We start from the raw sequence: 21,459 nt of genomic DNA, 5'->3' as shown, positions 1-21,459 counted from the left end.
AGTTGAAATACAACGATGGTTTTTCATATCATTGGTCGTGGTTGTAGTCCGTGCGAGAATAATGACATATGCTTTATTTTTGTTAAGTGTGGTTTTAGTAATGGGGTTTGTGGGGTTTTCTTCTAAGCCTTCTCCTATTTATGGGGGCTTAGTGTTGATTGTTAGTGGTGTGGTTGGGTGTATCATTATTTTAAATTATGGGGGAGGTTGTATAGGTTTAATGGTTTTTTTAAATTTATTTAGGGGGTATAATGGTTGTTTTTGGGTACACTACAGCAATAGCTATTGAGGAGTATCCTGAGGCATGGGGGTCAGGGATTGAGGTCTTGGTAAGTGTTTTAGTGGGATTAGCAATAGAAGTGGGGTTAGTGTTATGGGTAAAAAAATATGATGGGGTGGTGATTGTGGTGAATTTTAATAGTGTAGGAAGTTGAATAATTTATGAAGGGGAGGGGCCAGCATTGATTCGGGAGGATCCTATTGGTGCGGGGGCTTTATACGATTACGGGCATTGATTGGTGGTAGTTACTGGTTGAACCTTGTTTGTTGGTGTATATATTGTAATTGAGAGTGCTCGGGGTAACAGGTTATGTGATTAGGAGGAGGGTTAGGAGGAGTGGGAAGAAGAAAGAGGAAGTAAAGTTTGATTATGCCTTTTTGAGTTGAGGTGATGATGGAGGCGGAGGTTTGGTACTGTGAGGTTGTTTTAGGTATTAGTTTTTCTAGTCAAGTTAGGTCTAATAAAAGTAGGGATAAATTTTGGCTTATGGGAAGGCTTAGGTGGGGGATTGTGCGGTGAATAATACAGGGATAGAATCCGAGTATGTTGGAAAAGTGAAATGTACACAGTGGGTTTTTTATTTTGAGTTTGTTGGTTAAGTAGTTGAGGTCTAGGGCTGTCAGAAGTCCTAGGAAGGTGATGCCTAGGGCTGTGAGTTTTAAGTGAAGTGGGATTGTCATTTGGGGGATGGATGTGGGGAAAATGTTGCTGGTGATGAGAAATCCTGCGAATAGGCTTCCGATTGTTAGGCGTTTGATGGGGCTTAGCAGGGTAGGGTTGTTTTCGTTGATGTTGGTTAGGGTTGGGAAACGAGGTTGGCCTGTTAGGGTGAGGAGAATTATTCGAGTGCTATTGGCGCTTGTTAGGGAAGTGGCGATGAGAGTAATAGATAGGGCTCAGGCGTTGGTGTATGATATATTTGCGGTTTTGATGATGAGGTCTATGGAATAGAAGCCCGTGAGGAAGGGCATTCCTGCAAGTGCCAGGCTGCCAATGGTGAGGGAGGTTGAAGTGAGGGGTATAATTTTGAGTAGTCCTCCTATTTTTCGAATGTCTTGTTCATTGTTGAGGTTATGAATAATGGATCCGGAGCATATAAATAATATGGCTTTGAAGAAAGCATGGGTACAGATGTGTAGGAATGCTAGGTATGGTTGGTTGATGCCGATTGTGACTACCATGAGTCCTAATTGGCTTGAAGTAGAGAAGGCTACGATTTTTTTGATGTCATTTTGTGTAAGAGCACAGACTGCTGCGAACAGGGTGGTGGTGGCGCCTAGGCATAGTGTGAGAGTTTGGATTGGTGGGTTATTTTCTGCTAAGGGGTGGAAGCGGTTGAGTAGAAAGACCCCAGCTACAACTATGGGGCTTGAGTGAAGTAGGGCTGAGATGGGGGTAGGGCCTTCTATGGCTGAGGGGAGTCAGGGATGAAGACCTAATTGAGCTGATTTTCCTGCTGCTGCTAAGAGGAAACCTAGTAGTGGAATAAAGTCAGGGTTAGTGTTTAGGAGGAGTATTTCTTGTGGTTCTCATGAGTTGGAGTGTAGGAGGAATCATGCTAGGGCTAGGATGAAGCCAATGTCGCCAATACGGTTGTATAGGATTGCTGGGATGGCTGCTGTGTTGGCATCTGTTCGAGCATACCATCAACCGATGAGTAGGAAAGACATGATTCCTACGCCCTCTCAGCCGATGAAGAGTTGAAATAGGTTGTTGGCGGTGACTAGAATTAGTATGGTGATTAGGAAAATAAGTAGATATTTGAAAAATTGATTAATGTTTGGGTCTGAGTATGACACTATGCACTTTCTTTTTGGATTTTAGAAATGTCTGAGACTTTGTAAATCAACTTAAGTGTTCCATCATGGTATTAAACATTTTTGTAAAAATGACCTCTAAATTTTGGCCGCAGTTTCTTCAGAATCCATTAGAAATATTTAGTCAAAGCATTCAACAAATGGAGGGCAAAATATTCAGCTTATGTTAAGCTTTTAAGGAATTGCAATTATTGAAAACAAACCTTGCAAATGGGAGGATATTGAAATATATCCTCATGAAATCAAAGGGACAATTGAACAATGATAAGCACTCAAATTACATGCAAGATTTAATTGTGAAATTCCCAATTACGCTTTGAAATGCCCAAGACTTATGGGGAAAATCTTTTGATAGAGATGAAGTTTTCTATTGGATACATTTACATTCTGATCCAGAATGATGTTAAACTGAGAAAGGTTATGGTTTTGCAGCACTTAAATTTAGCAAACCGTTCAAAATAATCATTAACATTTATTTGATGAGTTTTGTCTTTTAAAATTTTTGGTCAAAGAAATGCAATCTGCATGGAGGCCAAAAAAAATAGTACCTGTAAAAATATTTGAGCTAAAATATTTATGTATTTCATTACTAAAAATTAAAATTGAGAATGTACTTCATCTAGCAAAATTTACTCTGAACTTAATAAATTTACCAAGTAGCTTATCACCTGAGAGAGAGTATTTTCTCAATTAAAAATATTATAATCTATATAGAAGAGTCTATTCATGGTATGAACAATTTAAAATTTGCTAACTATAAAATGAAACTTGGAAAAATATAAAAAGAATAGTCATATTTTTAAAATGCATTTTTCAAGAAATATCTGTGGATGACAGATACAGCTAAGAAACTCATTAAAGTATGCAAAAATATATCAAGAATCATTATTTATTTTTCAAGCAATATAAAGATGTTTTTACTTTTGAAAGCAAAGATATAAATTTTTTGAAAGAATATTATTTTTAAAAATAGTGTTTCAATGTAATTAGTTTGTAGGTCAGCAATTATATAAAACTGTTTAACTGGTTAGTAATATGTGTTTCAAAAATCATATAATTTTAATAATTTTTGGTACCTGCTTTTTAATCTCAAAAAAGTCCTGATTTGGATGATAATTTATATGGACATTTTATGTAAATATGCTTCATTCCCTCCTTCTCACGTTCAGTTTCCCCTTTTCTAAGTGCTTCCTAGATATATTTCTTGTATTTCAAAGTCATTATTCTAAAATGAACATACCACCTCAGTGTCCATTAACAGATTAATGGATTAAGAAAATATGGTATATATACACAATGGAATACTATTCAGCCTTAGAAAAGGAAATTCTGTCATTTGCAACAATATGGATGAACCTGGAGGACATTACACTAAGTGAAATAAGCCAGGAACAGAAAGATAGATATGGCATGTTCTCACTTATATGTGGAATCTCAAACAATTGAACTGATAGAAGCAGACAGTAGAACGATGTTTACAAGAGCCTGGGGAATGGGGAGAATGGAGAGATATGGGTCAAAGGATAAAGTTTCATTTAGACAGGAAGAATAAATGATAAGTATTTAAGGCAATGGATATGTTAATTAGCTTGATTCAATCTTTCCACACTGTATACCTATGTCATAAAATCACTTTGTAGCCCATAAATATATTCAATTATAATTTATCAATTAAAAATAATTTTAAAAGTAAAATGAAATGAACACACTATTTCCCCACTACAAACTACCTTCTTCTGATTTTCTCTTAAGAGTCTAACTTTATTCCCAGTCAGAGTTAAAATTTTGCAGCCAGGTGCGGTGGCTCAGGCATGTAATCCCAGCAGTTTGGGAGGCTGACGGGGGTGGATCACTTGAGGTCAGGAGTTTGAGACCAGCCTGGCCAACATGGTGAAACCCCATCTCTTGTAAAAATACAAAAATTAGCCAGATATGGTGGTGGGCGCCTGTAATCCCAGCTATCCAGGAGGCTGAGGCAGGAGAATTGCCTCAACCTGGGAGGCAGAGGTTGCGGTGAGCTGAGATTGCACCACTGCACCCAGCCTGGGCAACAAAAGGAGATTCTGTCTCAAAAAAAAAAAAAAAGGAATTAAAATCCTGCTATAAACATGGATTTTTTTTCCCTATGTTTTAGAAAGATCATTCTGGCAGCAGATAGAGAATGAGTTAGAAGGTGATGTTGCAAAAAAACAGGGAGAGACCAGGCATGGTGGCTCACACCTATAATCCCAACACTTTGGCATGCCAAAGCAGGAGGTTCCCTTGGGCCAGGAGTTCGAGACCAGCTTGGACAACAGTGTGAGACCTCATCTCTACCAAAAAAAAAAAAAAAAAAGGAAAGCAAGAAAGAGAGAGAAAGAGAGACAGGAAAGAAAGAGAGAGAGAGAGAGAGAGGAAAGAAAGAGAGAGAGAGAGAGAGAGGGAGAGAGAGAGAGAGGAGAAGAGAAGAGAAGAGAAGAAAAAGAAAAGAAAAGAAAAGAAAAGGGAGGGAGGGAAGGGAAGGATGGAAGGAAAAGAAAAGAAAAAAGAAAAGAAAAGAGAAAATAAAAGAAAGATTTAGAAAACTGCTGCACTAATCCAGATGATGGGGTTTGAACCCTGCACAGGGATAAGTTGAACCTAAAGCTGCCTTCTTACATATTTTAAATTCGGTTTCCTCATACATAGTGAACAGTAACCTAACTGGATATGTAAACAGACTCTAACCTACTCTTGTAACAAGTAGTAGCCCAGGAGCAGTTGCTCGTGCCTGTAATCCCAGCATTTTGGGAGGCTGAAGCAAGAGGTTCGCTTGAAGCCAGAAGTTAGAGACCAGTCAGGGCAATGTAGGGATACCTCATCTCCATCACACACACACACACACACACACACACACACACACACACACACACACTCAAAAATAAGGCATGGTGGCTCATGCCGGTAGTCGATACCTCATCTCCATCACACACACACACACACACACACACACACTCAAAAATAAGGCATGGTGGCTCATGCCGGTAGTCGATACCTCATCTCCATCACACACACACACACACACACAAATTCAAAAATTAGGCATGGTGGCTCATGCCGGTAGTCACAGCTACTTGGGAGGCTGAGGTGGGAGGATCCCTTGAGCCCAGGAGGTCAAGGCTGCAGTAGGCTATGATCATGCCATTCCAGCCTGGGTGACAGAATGAGACCTTGTCTGCAAAAAAAAAAAAAAAAAAACAAGGGGAATAGAAAGAAAAAGAGCTGGTAAAGGAACCTGAGTTGTGGTATTCAAGATAGAAATGGTAGAAAAACAGTGCTCTGAGAGCCAATGGATTAGCCTTTGGGGAAGAAAGAAAGCGGAACTAGTGTCAAGTATAGGAGGTTGGAGGGAAGACTGACATCAGATAATTTTGAGGTTCTGATAACTTTAGGAGGAATTCAGGCCTAACTTATAAAGGAAATGCTCAGGGCAGGCACTATGGCTCACGCCTGTAATCCCAGCAGTTTGGGAGGCTGAGGCGGTGGGTCACTTGAGGTCAGGAGTTCGAGATCAGTCTTGCCAACATGGTGAAACCCCATCTCGAACTAAAAATGCAAAAATTAGCTGGGCATGGTGGCAGGCGCCTATAATCCCAGCTACTCAGGAGGCAGAGGCAGGAGAATTGCTTGAACTCGGGAGGTGGAGGTTGCAGTGAGCCGAGATTGCACCATTGCACCCCATCCTGGGTGAAACAGTGGAACTCTGTCTCAAAAAACATAAAAAAAATTTAAAAAAGGCAATGCTCACAGAAATGTTTTACAGTTGGAAAGTTTTAGATTTAACTTTAATAAATTAAACTTCAAAGATACAATTGTCATTGTTATAGTTTTACACTGTAACTTTTATTCTAATATTTCTCTACAACTTATTATTTATTTTTACTGTGAACTTTTTTTTAGTTTTATATTGTGTGTACAAGGGCATATTGATCTATATTGAGTGGACTTTGATAACCTGTCAAGAACATCAGTTTCACTATAATTGACATATAGAACTTTTCTAGAAATCTGACTTTGAAGTTGAGTGAATCCAAAACATCTTTTTTTTTTTTTTTGAGACGGAGTCTTACTCTGTTGCCCAGGCTGGAGTGCAGTGGTGCGATCACGGCTCACTGCAAGCTCCGCCTCCTGGGTTCACGCCATTCCCTGGCCTCAGCCTCCGGAGTAGCTGGGACTACAGGCGCCCACCACCACGCCCAGCTGATTTTTTTTTTTTTGTTTTTTTTGGTATTTTTAGTGGAGATGGGGTTTCACCGTGTTAGCCAGGACGGTCTCGATCTCCTGACCTTGTGATACACCCACCTCGGCCTCCCAAAGTGCTGGGATTACAGGCGTGAGCTACCGTGCCCAGCTCAAAACACCTTTTAAAATCTCTTTAGATTTCATCTTAGAACCTGTTTCTCAATAGTGTCTACGGGTAAAATTTTAACTGTTTTATGATTTGACTTATTAGCTGTTACTTTTCAGAATTACGTCAAGAATGTGTTCTAGATATTTAAAATTTATTTAATAGTTAAAGCACTTAATTTAAGTAGTTTCTCCCCTGCAGTCTATACCTACATACTATCTCTTACATGTTCATTTTGATCCCTCAGCTTTGGTATGTGATTCATCTGTTAGTAAATAAATGCTAGGTTCTTTCCTCTCAATTACAGTCATTGGTCTGATAATCCTGTGAGTCAATCTGCACGCAACAAGGAGCTCATATCAAACTCCTGGCAGGTTTAGTTAAAATTAAAATGCATGCTTAACTGTAGAGATTGTCAAGTGTGGAAATAATATTTGTCCAGCTGGACAGCTTTCTTTTGTAGTTGCTAAATGAAAGTTGAGATTCTGTCTGCTCCTTGAAAGCTTCTGTGTCATGAAGATAATTTGAACTGTTTGTGGTTTGACAGGGATTATTAAAATCAGATGAAGTGAAGGGAAGCAAGTGTGAGAAAGCAAAATTGACACTGACACTCTCTATTATTTGCAGCTTGGATCATGATGACTATGTTGATATGATAGATTCACTGTTGAGATAAGTAAAGCAGCAAATAAAATAAAAAGCCAGTATAGTGATGGATTTTTAGATTTAATTTGAAGAAATCCAAAATTTACTTTTATTGATTGTTTTTAAAATAGATTTTCAAGTTATTTCATATGAATTTGTCTTAACCACTGACAAATTATACTTCTATTGAACTATAGAATTAAAAAGTATACTACAAAGGCTGTATGACAGAAGATTAAATATTAAAGAAGTAGATCACATGATTAAATCATAGAATTTTAAAACTAGAGAGTCCTTAAAAATTGTTTTTATCTAACATCCTTTTTTTGTAGATGAAAACTAAAAAGCATTTTAAGGTATCACATTTAAATTTTAATTGATAGCTTCCTACCTTTCACAATTTTTTAAAAATGGCTTACATAGTTTAAAAGCCATTTAAAAATTGTTTAAGCCACATTCGTAGGTGACTTTTTTCTGTTTAATAATACTCAAGTTACGTTATTATAGTTATATATAGCCTTTAAATAGTATTATCTACATTGGTGAAATAAATGCCTTTCATAAATATGATTTTCTACTGAGAACATTATTAGTGTAGAGGAAGTTATGACTAGAAGGCTATTTCAAGATGTCAGTCAAGAAGGGCTATAGTAGAAAAATATAATTATTTAATTGGAATAGGAATTAAGTTAAATATGAGGAACTATATGTATATAAAACAAGATGAGTTTTTCTATGCATTGTGGAAAATCCTGTGTTTATTTATTTAAGCAGAGTAGTGAAATGATCAGATTAAATGTATAAAATGAGAAGCGTAGAGTCCATATGCAAGACAGACATCAACTGGGTGTCCTACAATTCAATTCAAATTCAATTCTGACACTACCAGGACCCCACAAGTTCAGAGCTCAGACCCATAAGACTGCCCTCACTTCACGTGCCAGCTGCAGGTGGGTTTCCCAGATGACCCACACTTCTGCCACAAGACAACAAATTTGGGGGTTGCCACAGTTCAATAATTCATTAGAATGATGCACGGAACTCAGGGAAGCAGTATACATACAGTTTTATTAGAAAGGATACAATGTAGGAACAGCCAAATGAGAGAGATGCATAAGATAAAGTAAGGAAGAGGTTTATGGCACAGAACTTCCTGTCTGGGTGTGCCATCCTCTCAAGACATGGATGTGTTCACCAATTTGGAAACTTCCTGAACCTCCTTGTTTAAGAATTTTTATTGGGATCCATTATGTAGACACGATTGATTAAATCATTGGCCATAGGTGATTGGTCTCAATCCCAAGTCCCTTTCCTGTCTCTGGAGGTTAGAGTTAGAGGGAGTGGAGCTGAAAGTTAATGCAGTAATCAAATGGTTGGTTTTTTTAGACTAGCTCCCATCCTGAAGCTCTCTAGGGGCCCTCCAGAGTAACCTCATAAATATAAAATCACCTGTGAATAACAAGAGACATTTCAATCACTCAGGAAATTCCAAGAGTTTTTGGAGCTATGTTCCAGGAAGGGGGAAAGGAGTTAAAACCAAATGTGTGTATATGTGCGTGTGTGTGTGCTGTGTGCGTACACGCGCACATGTATATAATTATACCACAAGATGTGAGTCTTGGAAGTCAGATGGGAGGTTTTTCAGCAAGAAATAATGTCCAAATCTGCGACACTGGTTGCAGACGGAGGTAAATGTCATCTTTGAGAGCATTTGGTGACCATTTAAGATCTTACGGAGAAAAAGTATCCAAGAACTTGGTGACCATTTAAAACAGGGGTCAGCGAACATTTTCTATTATGACTGAAATAACCAAAAGGCCAGATAGTAAATATTTTAGGATTTGTGGACACATATGGCCTCTGTAGCATATTCTTTTTTGTTTGATTTTTATTTTTACAACTCATTAGATATGTAAAAACTATCAGGCCATAGAAAAGCAAGCCATGTCATAGTTTGCTGATACTTGATTTAAGATACTAGGGCAAGAAACAGGGCAATTAGGTAAATGGTTATCCTGTAAGGTAGGAAGAGAAGCCAGTGTAAGGAAAAGACTCTGAATTAAATTTTGGACATACTGAGTTTTCGTTGGCCCTCTGAAGGTTTGCTGAAAATAATTACTGACATGAGGCAGATAAGTGGGAGAAAAGACACATGAATTTATTTTTGTGTATATACAAGAGCCTTCAGAACCCCTACCCCTCCCAATAAGAGCTTATATACTATCTTGTAGTTACAGAAAGAATGACAGCTCAGAGAATGGCCAAGAATGGGTTATGATGGTACATTAAGTTATAGGAGGGAGAGAAGAGGTTTGACTAGCCAAGGTGGTCTTGTTATGTTGATGAAACCTCACAGGAAGCAGCCCTCAGAGAAAAAATGGTAAATGTTTCTTTTCAGACTTTTAGAGGTATCAGACTCTGAGTTAATCTTTCCTAGATCCAGACAAGAGAAGGCCTGGCTGCATTAATGCAGATTCTTTATGGATGCATGTTTTCCTCAAAAAAGACAGCTTTGCAGGGCCATTTCTGTTTCCCGGCCTTCTGACAGCCACCTCAAAATATGAAATATATTTTGTGGTAAAATATTTTGATCCCCATCATGAGTTTAAAGAACCTTCGAATCAGTGATGTGGAATTGTCTGGTAAGTACTTGGAAATATGTATGGGAGTTTTGGAGGAAGGACTATAATTATAGATAGAGACTTTGAATTTTCATCATAGAGATGATAGTGTCAAGCTGAAATGACCAAAAGGATCATAATCCAGTTTTAAACAGTTTATTCAAGTGAAAAACTGGGAGTAGCCATCCAAGAAACACAGACTCCAGGGAAATGGGATCAGTTAAAGTTTTGCTTATATAGGTAGGAAACAAAATATATTTAGTAAGATTGTTCCATTTTCTATACAAGGCTGGTTTATGAGTTACAACAATTTAATTAGTTAGTTTGTTTTCATTTCCAAAGAACTTGTTTTCATTTTGTGTCCTATTTTAAAGAGAGTATTTAACATTCCATCTTAGACAGTGTGATAGTCATGAAGTCTTTGCATAGAAAACGTAAGAGGGAAGTTAATCTATAGTAAAGATCAACAGTTAGGAGAGAAGGGATCTTCCCTGGCACCCTGTAGTCCTTTACAACATTTTCCAAAACAATATAAATTGTTTTATTGAAAACATAAAATAAAAGTACTCTTGTAAAATTATATAAAATGCAGTTGATTTGCTTGAAGAAAGCTCAGTAAAGGTATTTAAAAGAATACACGTGTAGGGAAGAAAAAGTAATATCCTTTCTTCCCATCTTAGTTTCATGGCTGAGGATCCTGTAAGTAGAAGACAGATTAACAAGAGAAAAGCATACAAATGTATTTGATTAAGTTTTACATGACATGGGAGCGTTCAGAAATGAAGACCTAAGGAAACAGAACAACTTATGTATTTTTATGGACAGTCATGCAGAAGTATGATGGATGACAAAAGGCTATGATCTAATAATAAATTGGTGGAATTTAGCAAGATCTGTTTGTTATGATCCTTCTCTGTGTGTCTGTGTCTTCAGAGATAAGGACATTGCTTTCTTCCCGGTATAGGGAATGCACTTGTGGAATGAAGGTCTTATGACCTACTTCAGTGGAAGGTGGAGAATTCTTTTACAATCTGCTTCAGAGAAGAAGGGGAGGAAGAAAGTCAGAGAGACTTTCCTGTTTCTGCTGTTTTCTCAAGTGCCAGAGTACTCCAAACTTTGCGGTAACATGTCCTAAACCTCATCACAGGTCTAGAGAGAACCCTGTGGTGAATATTGGTGTTTAATGGCAGATATGGGAAAGAAGCCTATCAAAATATTTATTAATTTAACACAAAAAACTACTGTGGTTACTTTAAGGGAAAAAAATGTAAGTGTTGGGCAGTGGAGCATGGAGAAGATTTATTGTGTGTATCTCACATAACCTAATGAAAACTTTGTGTGTAATCAGGGAAGAGCAAAAACTGCAGTTCTAGTGGCCTCAGCCAAAAAACATTCATACACATGCTTTTGGGAGGCTGGAATTAACTTGACTGGTTTACCACCAGTGATGTCTTATCCCTGCCTCCATTCCAAATTTCAAAATTCATTTAGTATACATCTAAGTGTTACCAGGGAGTCCTTGCTCCCAGAGCTCCCAAGATGGTGGCGGGCTGTTTCCAAAATGGTGGCAGGCTGCTTCCAAGATGGTGGCAAGCCTCATGTTCTCTGACCTGGGGTTCTCAGCTTCACGGATTCCAAGGAATGGAATCTTGGGCCATGCGGTGAGTGTTATAGCTCTATTAGAAGCTGTGGGTCATAGAAGAGAACCGTGGAACGAAGTGACTAGTGTTCAGCTCAATTAGGAACCCAGGCACTTAGCTGTGCAGGAACAACGGCAAACTTTTAGCCTGATCAGGAGCGGCAATGGGCGCCTCCCTGGATCAGGAGCACGGCAGACACCCTGCCAGATCCAGAGGGATGGAAGTTAGCAGCGGGTCTGTGATGGCAGCAAAGGCAGTAGTGGACAGCGAGCAAAAGCACCGCTCGAGCCATAACAAACAGGGACCAGAAAAGAGTGCAGTTGCAAGATTTAATAGAGTGAAAACAGAGCTCCTATACAAAGGGAGGGGACCCAAAGAGGGTAGCCATTGCTGGCTGAATGCCTGGGATTATATCTGGATCATTGTCCCTCCTGCTGTGCTCTCAGGCGATAGATGATTGGCTATTTCTTTACCTCCTGTTTTTGCCTAATTAGCATTTCAGTGAGCTCTCTTTACTACCTGATTGGTCACGTGTGAGCTAAGTTGCAAGCCCCATGTTTGAAGGTGGATGTGGTCGCCTTCCCAGCTAGGCTTAGGGATTCTTAGTCAACTTAGGAAATCCAGCTAGTCCTGTCTCTCATAATGGTCTAACCCTAAATCCATTATGACTAGGGTTAGATCCCATCACACAGAAATGGACCCTCATTGTATATCTGTATGTTGTATAATTGATTTAAAAAAAAAAAAAAAAGAAAGGAGCCTTGCATGGTGGCTCACGTCCATAAGCCCAGTACCTTGAAGGCTGAGTCATGTGGATTGCTTGAGCCCAAGAGTTTGAAAGCAGCCTGGGCAACATGGCAAAACCCAATCTCTACAAAAATTAGCCAGGCATGGTAGCACGTGCCTGTAGTCCCAGTTAGGAGGAGTCTGAGGTGGGAGGATCACTTGGCCCAGGAGGTCAAGGCTGCAGTGAACTGTGATCGTGCCACTGCACTTAGGCCTGGGCAACAGAGCCAGACCCTATCTCAAAATAAATAAATAAATTAATTAATTAAAAAAGAAATGTGATCTGGCCAGCTACCCAAAATGATGTTTCCTACCAGGAGCCTGGTAAACAGATAAATGGTGTGAGTGACAAGATGGAAAACTAGGAAGGCGTGCTATTTAGGAAGATTGTCAAGAGAGGAGACAATTTCAAGGAAGGAGTAGCTGTCAGTACTGAATAGTGCAAAGAGATTAAGCGTGATAGGAACTGAAAAATATTTTGTCAATTTCAGTGTAAGGTTCGAGGCAGAAATTATTACTCTGGGTTGAGGAGTAAATGAGAGGTGAGAACACAGGAAATGTAGACTGCTATTTTGAGAAGCTGGGATATGACAGTAAGGGATACTAGGGTAGGTTTTGCTGGTTTCTAAAAAGTAAGAAGCTTGGACATGTTTATAGTCTGCTGAAAGGGATATTGATGATACAAGACTGGTGATAATTCATGGAACAAAGCTCTGGATGGCATAAAAGCGTATTGTAATGGGTAGATGTTTTAATCAAATTAAAGTTAAGCTAAATAATAATGTCACCAATATTTTAGGAAAATAGTACCACATTAATATGACTTGCTAATTAATACTATTAACATTTTAGGAGAAATTTTTAAACTCTTGGAACTTAATTTAAGAACTTTAAATCCTTTAGAAGAAAGCATTTTGATACAAAGTGCATGCTAAGTTCAAATCATTGTTATTAAGTTATTAAAAGAGAGTTTCTTTAAAATGTAATTGACATCTGGCGGGGCATGTGGCTCATGCTCATGCTCATGCCTGTAATCCCAGCACTTTGGGAGGCCGAGGCAGGCGGATCACTTCCAGACCAACCTGGCCAACATGGTGAAACCCATCTCTATGAAGCATACAAAAAACCAAACCAAACCAAAACAAAACAAAAACTAGCCGGGTGTGGTGGCACACACCTGTAATCCCAGCTACTAGGGAGGCTGAGGCAGGAGAATCGCTCGAATCCAGGAGGCGGAGGTTACAGTGAGCTGAGATCGCACCACTGCACTCCAGCCTGGGCAACAGAGTGAGACTCTGTCTCAAAAAAAAAAAAAAGTAATTGATGTCTCATAAACTGTATTTATTATTATTCCCAGTTGATACATAATACAAAACTGCCTTTTAAAAAGTGCTCCATAACTTAAATTTTCTACTAATGCAGATCTTCAAGTTAATAAACTTTTACTATACTTGAAAATTCATTAGTTAATATCATTAATCTCATGATCTGTGACATTATTTAGGTCTAATCTCAACAGATACAGCAATTTTATGACTTTGAAATCATGTGAAATATATGAGTGCCAGTTATAAAGGAATGCTAACATTAAAATTTATATTATCTTGGTTTCACCTTCCATTAAAGCAAGAGATGGCTAGGATTGCATATTGAAAATTATAAAGTTATTAAAATGAGAATATTATATAGAAAGAGAACTGCATTGAAAAATAAAGCAATGTCAGAATTGGTGAGCAAATCACATGACAATTAATTCTGTTTGCTTGTCAAGCTACAATAGTGTATTCTGACTGATCCTGTCAATTTCTACTTCATACACACACATATATAAATAATTAATAGGAGTTACAGTGGAGTATCTTATATTTTAAATGGAGGAATTTTAATAGTCATAGTATATTAATACGAGTACTTACCAGATATATATAGATAATCTAGTTTACATAATTATAGTAATCAGAACTTCCACAGTTATTAGCAGAAAGCATAGCAGTCTATATAAGAAAATCTAATATATAGATAAGAGTTGAGAAAATAAATTGAATGGAATAACAAGTTCTTTGTTTCCTAATATGACTTCAATATCTAAGGGTTTTAAATGACTATCAACAAATTAAGATCCACTGGAGTGTTTATGTAGTCATTGGGGGAAGGCTAAAACATTAAAATCTCAACTCCCAGTAATTAATGAGAAGAAAGAAATTTCAGGCAACCCTAAAATATTACAAGTAAGCTCTGGCCTTTAAAAAAGTCGATGATGTTGTTTTTTATGTTTTGTTTTTTGTTTTTGTTTTTGCAATTATGTAGATTTCACAATGAAGGACATTTATAATAGTTCTAGGGAAAACTGTCAAATGTATATGGCAGAAAAATAAATCAACATATATAAGAGGTAAAATATTAATTTTTTGTAAAAGTTGAAGTCTATATAGAGAGGCAATTTATAGCATTATGATTCAGGACAGCCCTTGAAGCAATAGGAATCCCAGCTTTGCCACTTCATATCTAAGTGACCTTGGACAAGTCATGAACCATTCTGTGCCTCAGTTTCCATATCTTTAATAAGATTATAATATTATCTATCTGTTTATGTTAAGAATTAAATGAATTCATATATATATATATATATATATATATATATATATATATATATATAGTACACAGAACAATGCCTGGCTCATATAAGTGCTACAAAAGAGTCGGCTGTTATCATTACTATTATTATTTAGCCATTTTAGCTTTAATCCAGGTCTCAATGAATGAGATCACTGAATTACATATATTTTCCAAGATTTGGTAAAAATTAAATATTGAATTTTTTAATCTTGGCAGGACTTTGTAAATGATATAGGAATATTACTTTCTGACTAAATATGAATGGCAAAATAAAAATGAGCCAGGCCAGAAGAAAAGGCTGGTGCATATTTAAGAATGGTGACCGGGTCGGTTTATTTTCACTTTGCTTTATTACCAAGCCAGCAACACAAACCAAACCAGCAATACAAAGAATAATACAAATAATATAGAGAATATAAGGAATAAATAGATCAAGAATACATGATGGCCTGTGAAGGTATGATTCCCTAATGTTACCCCTTTTCCGTGTGATGGCATGCCATAAAGATGTCTGAGTTGGTCTCAGACATCTTTTGTTGAGTAAGGAGTCTGCCAAGTCAGGGGAACCTGGGAACATGAGATTACTGCCTCATAGAATATTTTATGGAGCTTAGAGTTTCAGGGATTATACAGGGGATCTCTCCTATCACCATAGAAGAATATCTTGCTGCCGCACATTTTATTTTTTCACAAATTATTTCTTGCTAAGCTGTAGATTCTACTTCAGCTTTCTGTGTTGTGTGCCTAGGGAAGGGAAATGGGAAAAGTCAAAAGTGGCTCTGACAGTCCAAGGGACAAGAAAAATGGTAGTATTGATGAACAAAATAGTCAAGTCCGTTGAAGAGCTGATTTGGGTTCAGAAATATGTCCTTCTCATGCTGTTTCTTAGAGAACATCACGATTTTATAGCTGGAAGAAAACTGAGAGCCTAATCTACCTGCCTCATTTTTAAATTTTTTTTTCTTTTTGTTTTTTTTTTTTGGTTGTTTTTTTAAACAGTCTCCTTCTTGTTGCTCAGGAAGGAGTGCAATGGCGCGATCTTGGCGCACGGCAGCCTCCGCCTCCCAGGTTCAAGCAATTCTCCTGCCTCAGCCTCCTGAGTAGCTGGGATTACAGGCGTCTGCCACCATGCCCGGCTAATTTTTTGTATTTTTAGTAGAGATGGGGTTTCACCATGTTGACCAGGCTGATCTCAAACTCCTGGCCTCAGGTGATCGACCCGCCTTGGCCTCCCAAATTGCTGGGGATTACAGGCATGAGCCACTGCGCCCAGCCGTAAATATTTTTTTTTTACTTTTTTTTTTTCTTTTTTTTTTTAGATGGAGTTTTGCTCTTGTCACCCAGGCTGGAGTGCAATGGTGTGATTTCGCCTCAGTGCAACCTCTGCCTCCTGGGTTCAAGCGATTCTCCTGCCTCAGCCTCCCGAGTAGCTGGGATTACAAGCGCCAACCACCATGCCCTGCTAATTTTTTGTATTTTTAGTAGAGACAGGGTTTCACCATGTTGGTTAGGCTGGTCTTGAAATCCTGACCTCAGGTGATCCACCCGCCTCCGCCTCCCAAAGTACTGGGATTACAGGCGTGAGTCACTCCGCCCAGCCTTTACTTATTTTTTTATTGACAATCGTTGTACATGGGTACATAGTGATGTTTCAGTAAATACAACATATAGTATTCAAATCAGAGTAATTAGTCGATCCATCATCCCAAACATTTACATTTCTTTGTGTTGGGAACATTTCCTAACTTCTCTTCTAGCTATTTGAAAATATATAGTATATTATTAACTATGGGAATTTTACAGTGCCATAGAAGATTCAAACTTATTCCTCCTATCTAGCTGTAATTTTGTGTCCTTTAACAAATGACTTCCTTTCTTTACCCCTTACCTTTCTCAGCTTCTACTAACCTCTGTTCTACTCTTCACTTCTATGAAATCAGCTTTTTTAGCTATCATATGTAAGTGTTAGCATGCGGTGTTTAACTTTCTGTTCCTGGCTTATTTCATTTAACATGGTATCCTCCAGACTCATCCATGTTGCCATGTTTCATTTGTTTCAAGAAACTTAAATTTTCTTCATAATATCTTTCTTCACCCATTGGTCATTCAGGAACATGTTGTTTCTTTTCTATGTATTTGTACACGTTCCAAAGTTTCTCTTGTTGATTTCTAGTTTTATTCCATTGTGATAAGAAAAGGTACTTGATAAGATTTCAATTATTAAAATATTTTGAGATTTGTTTTGTGTCCTAACATATGGTCAGTCCTGAAGAATGTTCCATGTGCTGATGAAAAGAATGTGTATTCTGCAACTGTTTAGTGGGATTTTCTGTACATATCTATTAGGTCTATTTTGTCTGTTTAAATCCAATGTTTCTTTGTTGATTTTCTGTCTAGATGATCTTTCCAGTGCTGAGAACGAGATGTTGAAGCCCCCAACTATTATTGCATTGCAGTCTGTGTCTCCTTTTACATCTCATATTTGCCTTTTATATCTAGTTACTCAGATGTTGGGTGCATATATATTTAGAATTGTTATATACTTTTGCTAAACCGATCCCTTTATTATTGTATAATGTCATTCCTTTTCTCTTTTTAGAGTTTTTACTTGAAGTATTTTTATCTGATATAACTATAGCTATTTCTGCTTGCTTTTGGTTTCTCTTTGTGTGGAATATCTTTTTCCATCTCTTCACTTTCAGTCTGTGTGTCTTTACAGATGAGGGTAGTTTTTTTGTGGGCAGTATATAGTTGGGTCTTGTTCTTTGATCCATTTCTATATTTTTTGATTGAGGAATTGAATCCATTTTCATTCAAGGTTATTATTGATAAGTGAGGACTTACTCCTGTTATTGTATTATTTTCTTGTTTATTTGTATATATTTTTTCCCTTAATTTCTCTCTATTTATTTTTGCAGTTTGATGGTTTTTCTGTAGTGTTAAAGTTTGATTCCTTTTTCTTTCTCCTTTTCTACCAGTGAGTTCTATAATTTTGAGTATTTTCATGGTGGTAGTTACCATCTTTTCACATTCAGATGTAGGACTCCCTTAAGTATTTAATATAAGGCCAATATATGTCAATGAGTTTCCTTTGTTATTGCTTGCCTGGGAAAGACTGTTTCTCCATTTCTGAAGGATAGGTTTGCTGGGTGTATTATTATTGTCCAGCAGTTTTTTTCTTTCAATATTTTTAATATATTATCCCATTCTCTCCAGGCTTGTAAGATTTCTGCTGAGAAATCTGCTCTTAGTCCATTGGGGATTGCATTAAATATGACTTAATGCTTTTCTCTTGCCGTTTTTAGAATTATTTTTTGTCTTTGACTTTTGACAATTTCACTACTATATGCCTCAGGGAGGATCTGTTTGAACTGAAACTTTTTGGGGATATTTGAGCTTCCTGGATCTGGATGTTCACGTCTCTCCCAGGACTTGGTAAATTTTCAGTTATTATTTTATTAAATAAGGTTTGTATATCTTTGTCCTTCTCTTTTCCTTCTGGAACTCCCATAATGTGAAAATTAGTACATTTAATTGTGTCCCATAAACCCTGAAGGCTTTCTGCATTTTTTTTTCTTCCTGTATTATTTCAAAAGCCTGTCTTTAAGTTCAGGTATTCTTTCTTCTGCTTGGTCTAGTGTGTTGTTAAAGCTTTATGTTATATTTTTATTTTATTTCTGGAATTCTTCAGCTCTAAGATTTCTGTTTGGCTCATATTTATGATATCTATCACTTTGTTGAATTTTTCATTCAAATCACAAAGTATTATCTTGATTTTATGGAATTATCTGTCTATATTCTCTTATATATGAGTGAGTTTTATTATTTTGAATACTTTTTCTGGCATTTTATGTAGTTCCTTGTGATTAGTGTCTACTACTGGAGAATTATTGTGTTGCTTTTTTTTTTTTTTTTGACATAGAGTCTCGCTCTGTCGCCCAGGCTGGAGTGCAGTGGTGCGATCTGGGCTCACTGCAAGCTCCGCCTCCCGGGCTCACGCCATTCTCCTGCCTCAGCCTCCCAAGTAGCTGGGACTACAGGCACCCGCCACCATGCCTGGCTAATTTTTTGTATTTTTAGTTGAGACGAGGTTTCACTGTGTTAGCCAGGATGGCCTCGGTCTCCTGACCTCGTGATCCGCCTGCCTCGGCCTCCCAAAGTGCTGGGATTACAGGTGTGAGCTACCGTGAATTATTGTGTTTCTTCAAATGTGTCATGTTTCCTTTCTTTATGTTTGATATGTCCCTATGTTGATTTCTTCACATCTGATGTAATAGTTGCCTCTTCCAATTTAATGGAGTAGCTTTCATAGAGAAAGATTTATTCCTATAGATGGGTCTTGCGGTGTCAGTTGGGTGGGGTGCTTTGACTTTGGTTATAGGTTCACACAGTAGTGTAATCTATGTTCAGTTTGGGGGCCTTTCCAGGTTGGATGAAGGTGTGCAGTAGTTTGGCCAGTATAAAGGTGAGTTCACCCTGGGGAAGTCCACCAAATTGTTTCTCTGGCTAGAAATGCAGGTGGCACAGATTGGTTTCCCAGCTGTGCAGGACCAGAGTTTTAATTTTTAGCTTCCACAGGTAAGTGAGCACATATGATGTTTGTCTTTCTGTGCCTGGTTTTTTTCATTTAACATAATGACCTCCAGTTTCATCCATGTTGTTGCAAATGACAGGATCTCGTTCTTTTTTATGGCTGAAGAGTACTCCATTGTGTATATGTACCACATTCTGTTTATCCAGTCCTCTGTTGATGTCCATTTTATCTTTTCAAAAAGCCAACTTTTTGTTTCATTGATCTTTTCTATTGTTTTCTTTGTTTCAGTTTCATTTATTTCCACTCTGATGTTTATTATTTCTTTTTTTATACTAATTTTGAGTCTAGTTTGCTCTTGCTATTCTAGTTCTTAATGCATCATTTGGTTATTTATTTGAAGTTTTTGTTCTTTTTTGATGTAAGCACTTAAAGCTATGAATTTCCCTCTTTGTACTGCTTTCGTTATATTCCATAGTTTTGTTTCTTTGTTTTTGTTTTTGTTTTTTGAGATGGAGTCTCACTCTGTGGCCCAGGCTGGCTGAAGTGCAGTAGCTCAATCTCGGCTCACTGCAACCTCTGCCTCCTGGGTTCAAGCAATTCTCCTGCCTCTGCCTCCCAAGTAGCTGGGATTGCAGGCACCTGCCACCACATCCGGCTAATTTTTGTATTTTTTAGTAGAGATAGGGTTTCACCATGTTGGCCAGGCTGGTCTTGAGCTCCTGACCTCAGGGCATCTGCCTGCCTCAGCCTCTCAAAGTGCTGGAATTACAGGCATGAGCCACCGCGCCAGCTCCCATAGATTTTGGTATGTTGTGTTTCCATTATCATTTGTTTCAAGAAATTTTTTAATTTGCTTCATAATTTCTTCAGTGACCCACTGGTCATTCAGGAGCATATTATTTAATATCCATGTGAGTGTACAGTTTCAAAATTCCTCTTATTATTAATTTCTTGTTTTATTCCATTGTGGTCAGGGAAGATGCTTGATATTATTTCATTTTTTTGAATCTTTTAAGCCTTGTTTTGTGACCTACCGTATGGTCTTTCCTTAAGAATGATCTATGTGCTGAGGAGCGAAATACACTGAAAAAATGTATTCTTCAGCCATTGGATAAAGGAATTCTATAAATATCTATTAGGACCATTTGTTCTATAGTGCAGATTAAGTTCAATGTTTCTTTGCTGATTTTCTCTTTGTAAGATCTGTCCTATGCTGAAAGTAAGGTGTTGAAGTCTCCAGCTATTATTGTATTGAGGTCTCTCTCTCTCTTTAGCTCTAATAATATTTGCTTATTATAATATCTGGATGCTCCAGTGTTGGGTGCATATATATTTATAATTGGTGTATCATCTTGGTGAATTGACCCCTTTATCATAATATAATGACCTTCTTTGTCTCTTCTTACAGTTTTTGTCTTGAAATCTATTTTGTCTGATACAAGTATATCTACTGCTGCCTTTTGTTTGTTTGTTTGTTTGTTTCCATTGACATGGAATATCTTTCTCCATCCCTCGGTTTTCAGTCTTTGTGTATCTTTATAGATGAAATGTATTTCTTGTAGGCAGGACACCACTGGGTCTTGGTTTTTTATCCATTCAGCCACTGTATGTCTTTTGATTGGAGAGTTTAGTCCATTTACTTTCAGTGCTATTATTGATAAGTAAGGACTTACTCTTGCTATTTTATTGTTTGTTTTCTGGTTGTTTTGTGGTTATCTCTTCCTTCTTTCCTTCCTTCCTCTCTTGCTTTTAGTTAAGGTGATTTTCTACGGGGATCTGATTTAATTTCTTGCATTTATTTTTTGTGTATCCACTGTATGTTTTTTAGATTTGAGGTTACTGTGAGGTTTGCAAATACTATCCTATAACCCATTAGTTTAGACTAATGACAACTAAACACTGATTGCATAAATAAGCAAGCAAAAAGAAAACTAGTAAAAACTTAGTTCATCAGCTTTTTAACTTTTCGTTGTTTCTCCTTATGTCTTATTGTACTGTCTACATCTTGAAAAGTTGTTTTAATTATTATTCAATTCATTCATCATTTAGTCTTTCTATTTAAGATATGAGTAATTTACATACCACAATTACATTGTTATAATATTCTGTGTTTTCTTTGTTCTTACAATTACCAGTGAGTTTTGTGTCTTCAGA

General features: G+C 37.4%; 1 protein-coding gene and 2 pseudogenes across 33 annotated transcripts in view; 2 read left to right on the top strand and 1 right to left on the bottom strand.

Annotated features, from left to right (window-relative positions):
* Nucleotides 1–21,459, top strand: part of KIAA0825 — a 467,754-nt gene that overhangs the window by 49,077 nt on the left and 397,218 nt on the right. For 7 of the 33 annotated variants that reach the window (XM_047417110.1, XM_011543328.4, NM_001385723.1 and 4 more), the window contains one exon: nucleotides 10,694–10,850. The exons of 25 other annotated variants lie outside the window; for them this stretch is intronic. The gene's annotated coding sequence lies outside the window, so the exon portion shown is untranslated. Of the gene's footprint in view, nucleotides 1–10,693; nucleotides 10,851–18,076; nucleotides 18,207–21,459 lie in introns of all 33 variants that reach the window. One more of the 33 variants, NM_001385729.1, reaches the window with a different exon arrangement.
* MTND6P3 (MT-ND6 pseudogene 3) lies at nucleotides 58–599 on the top strand (annotated as a pseudogene).
* MTND5P12 (MT-ND5 pseudogene 12) lies at nucleotides 591–2,070 on the bottom strand (annotated as a pseudogene).

Source organism: Homo sapiens, chromosome 5 (genome assembly GCF_000001405.40).
Source record: "Homo sapiens chromosome 5, GRCh38.p14 Primary Assembly".
Taxonomy (NCBI): Eukaryota; Metazoa; Chordata; class Mammalia; order Primates; family Hominidae; genus Homo; species Homo sapiens.
The sequence above is the reverse complement of the archived record's forward strand: the minus strand, read 5'-3'. Positions and strand labels throughout refer to the sequence as shown.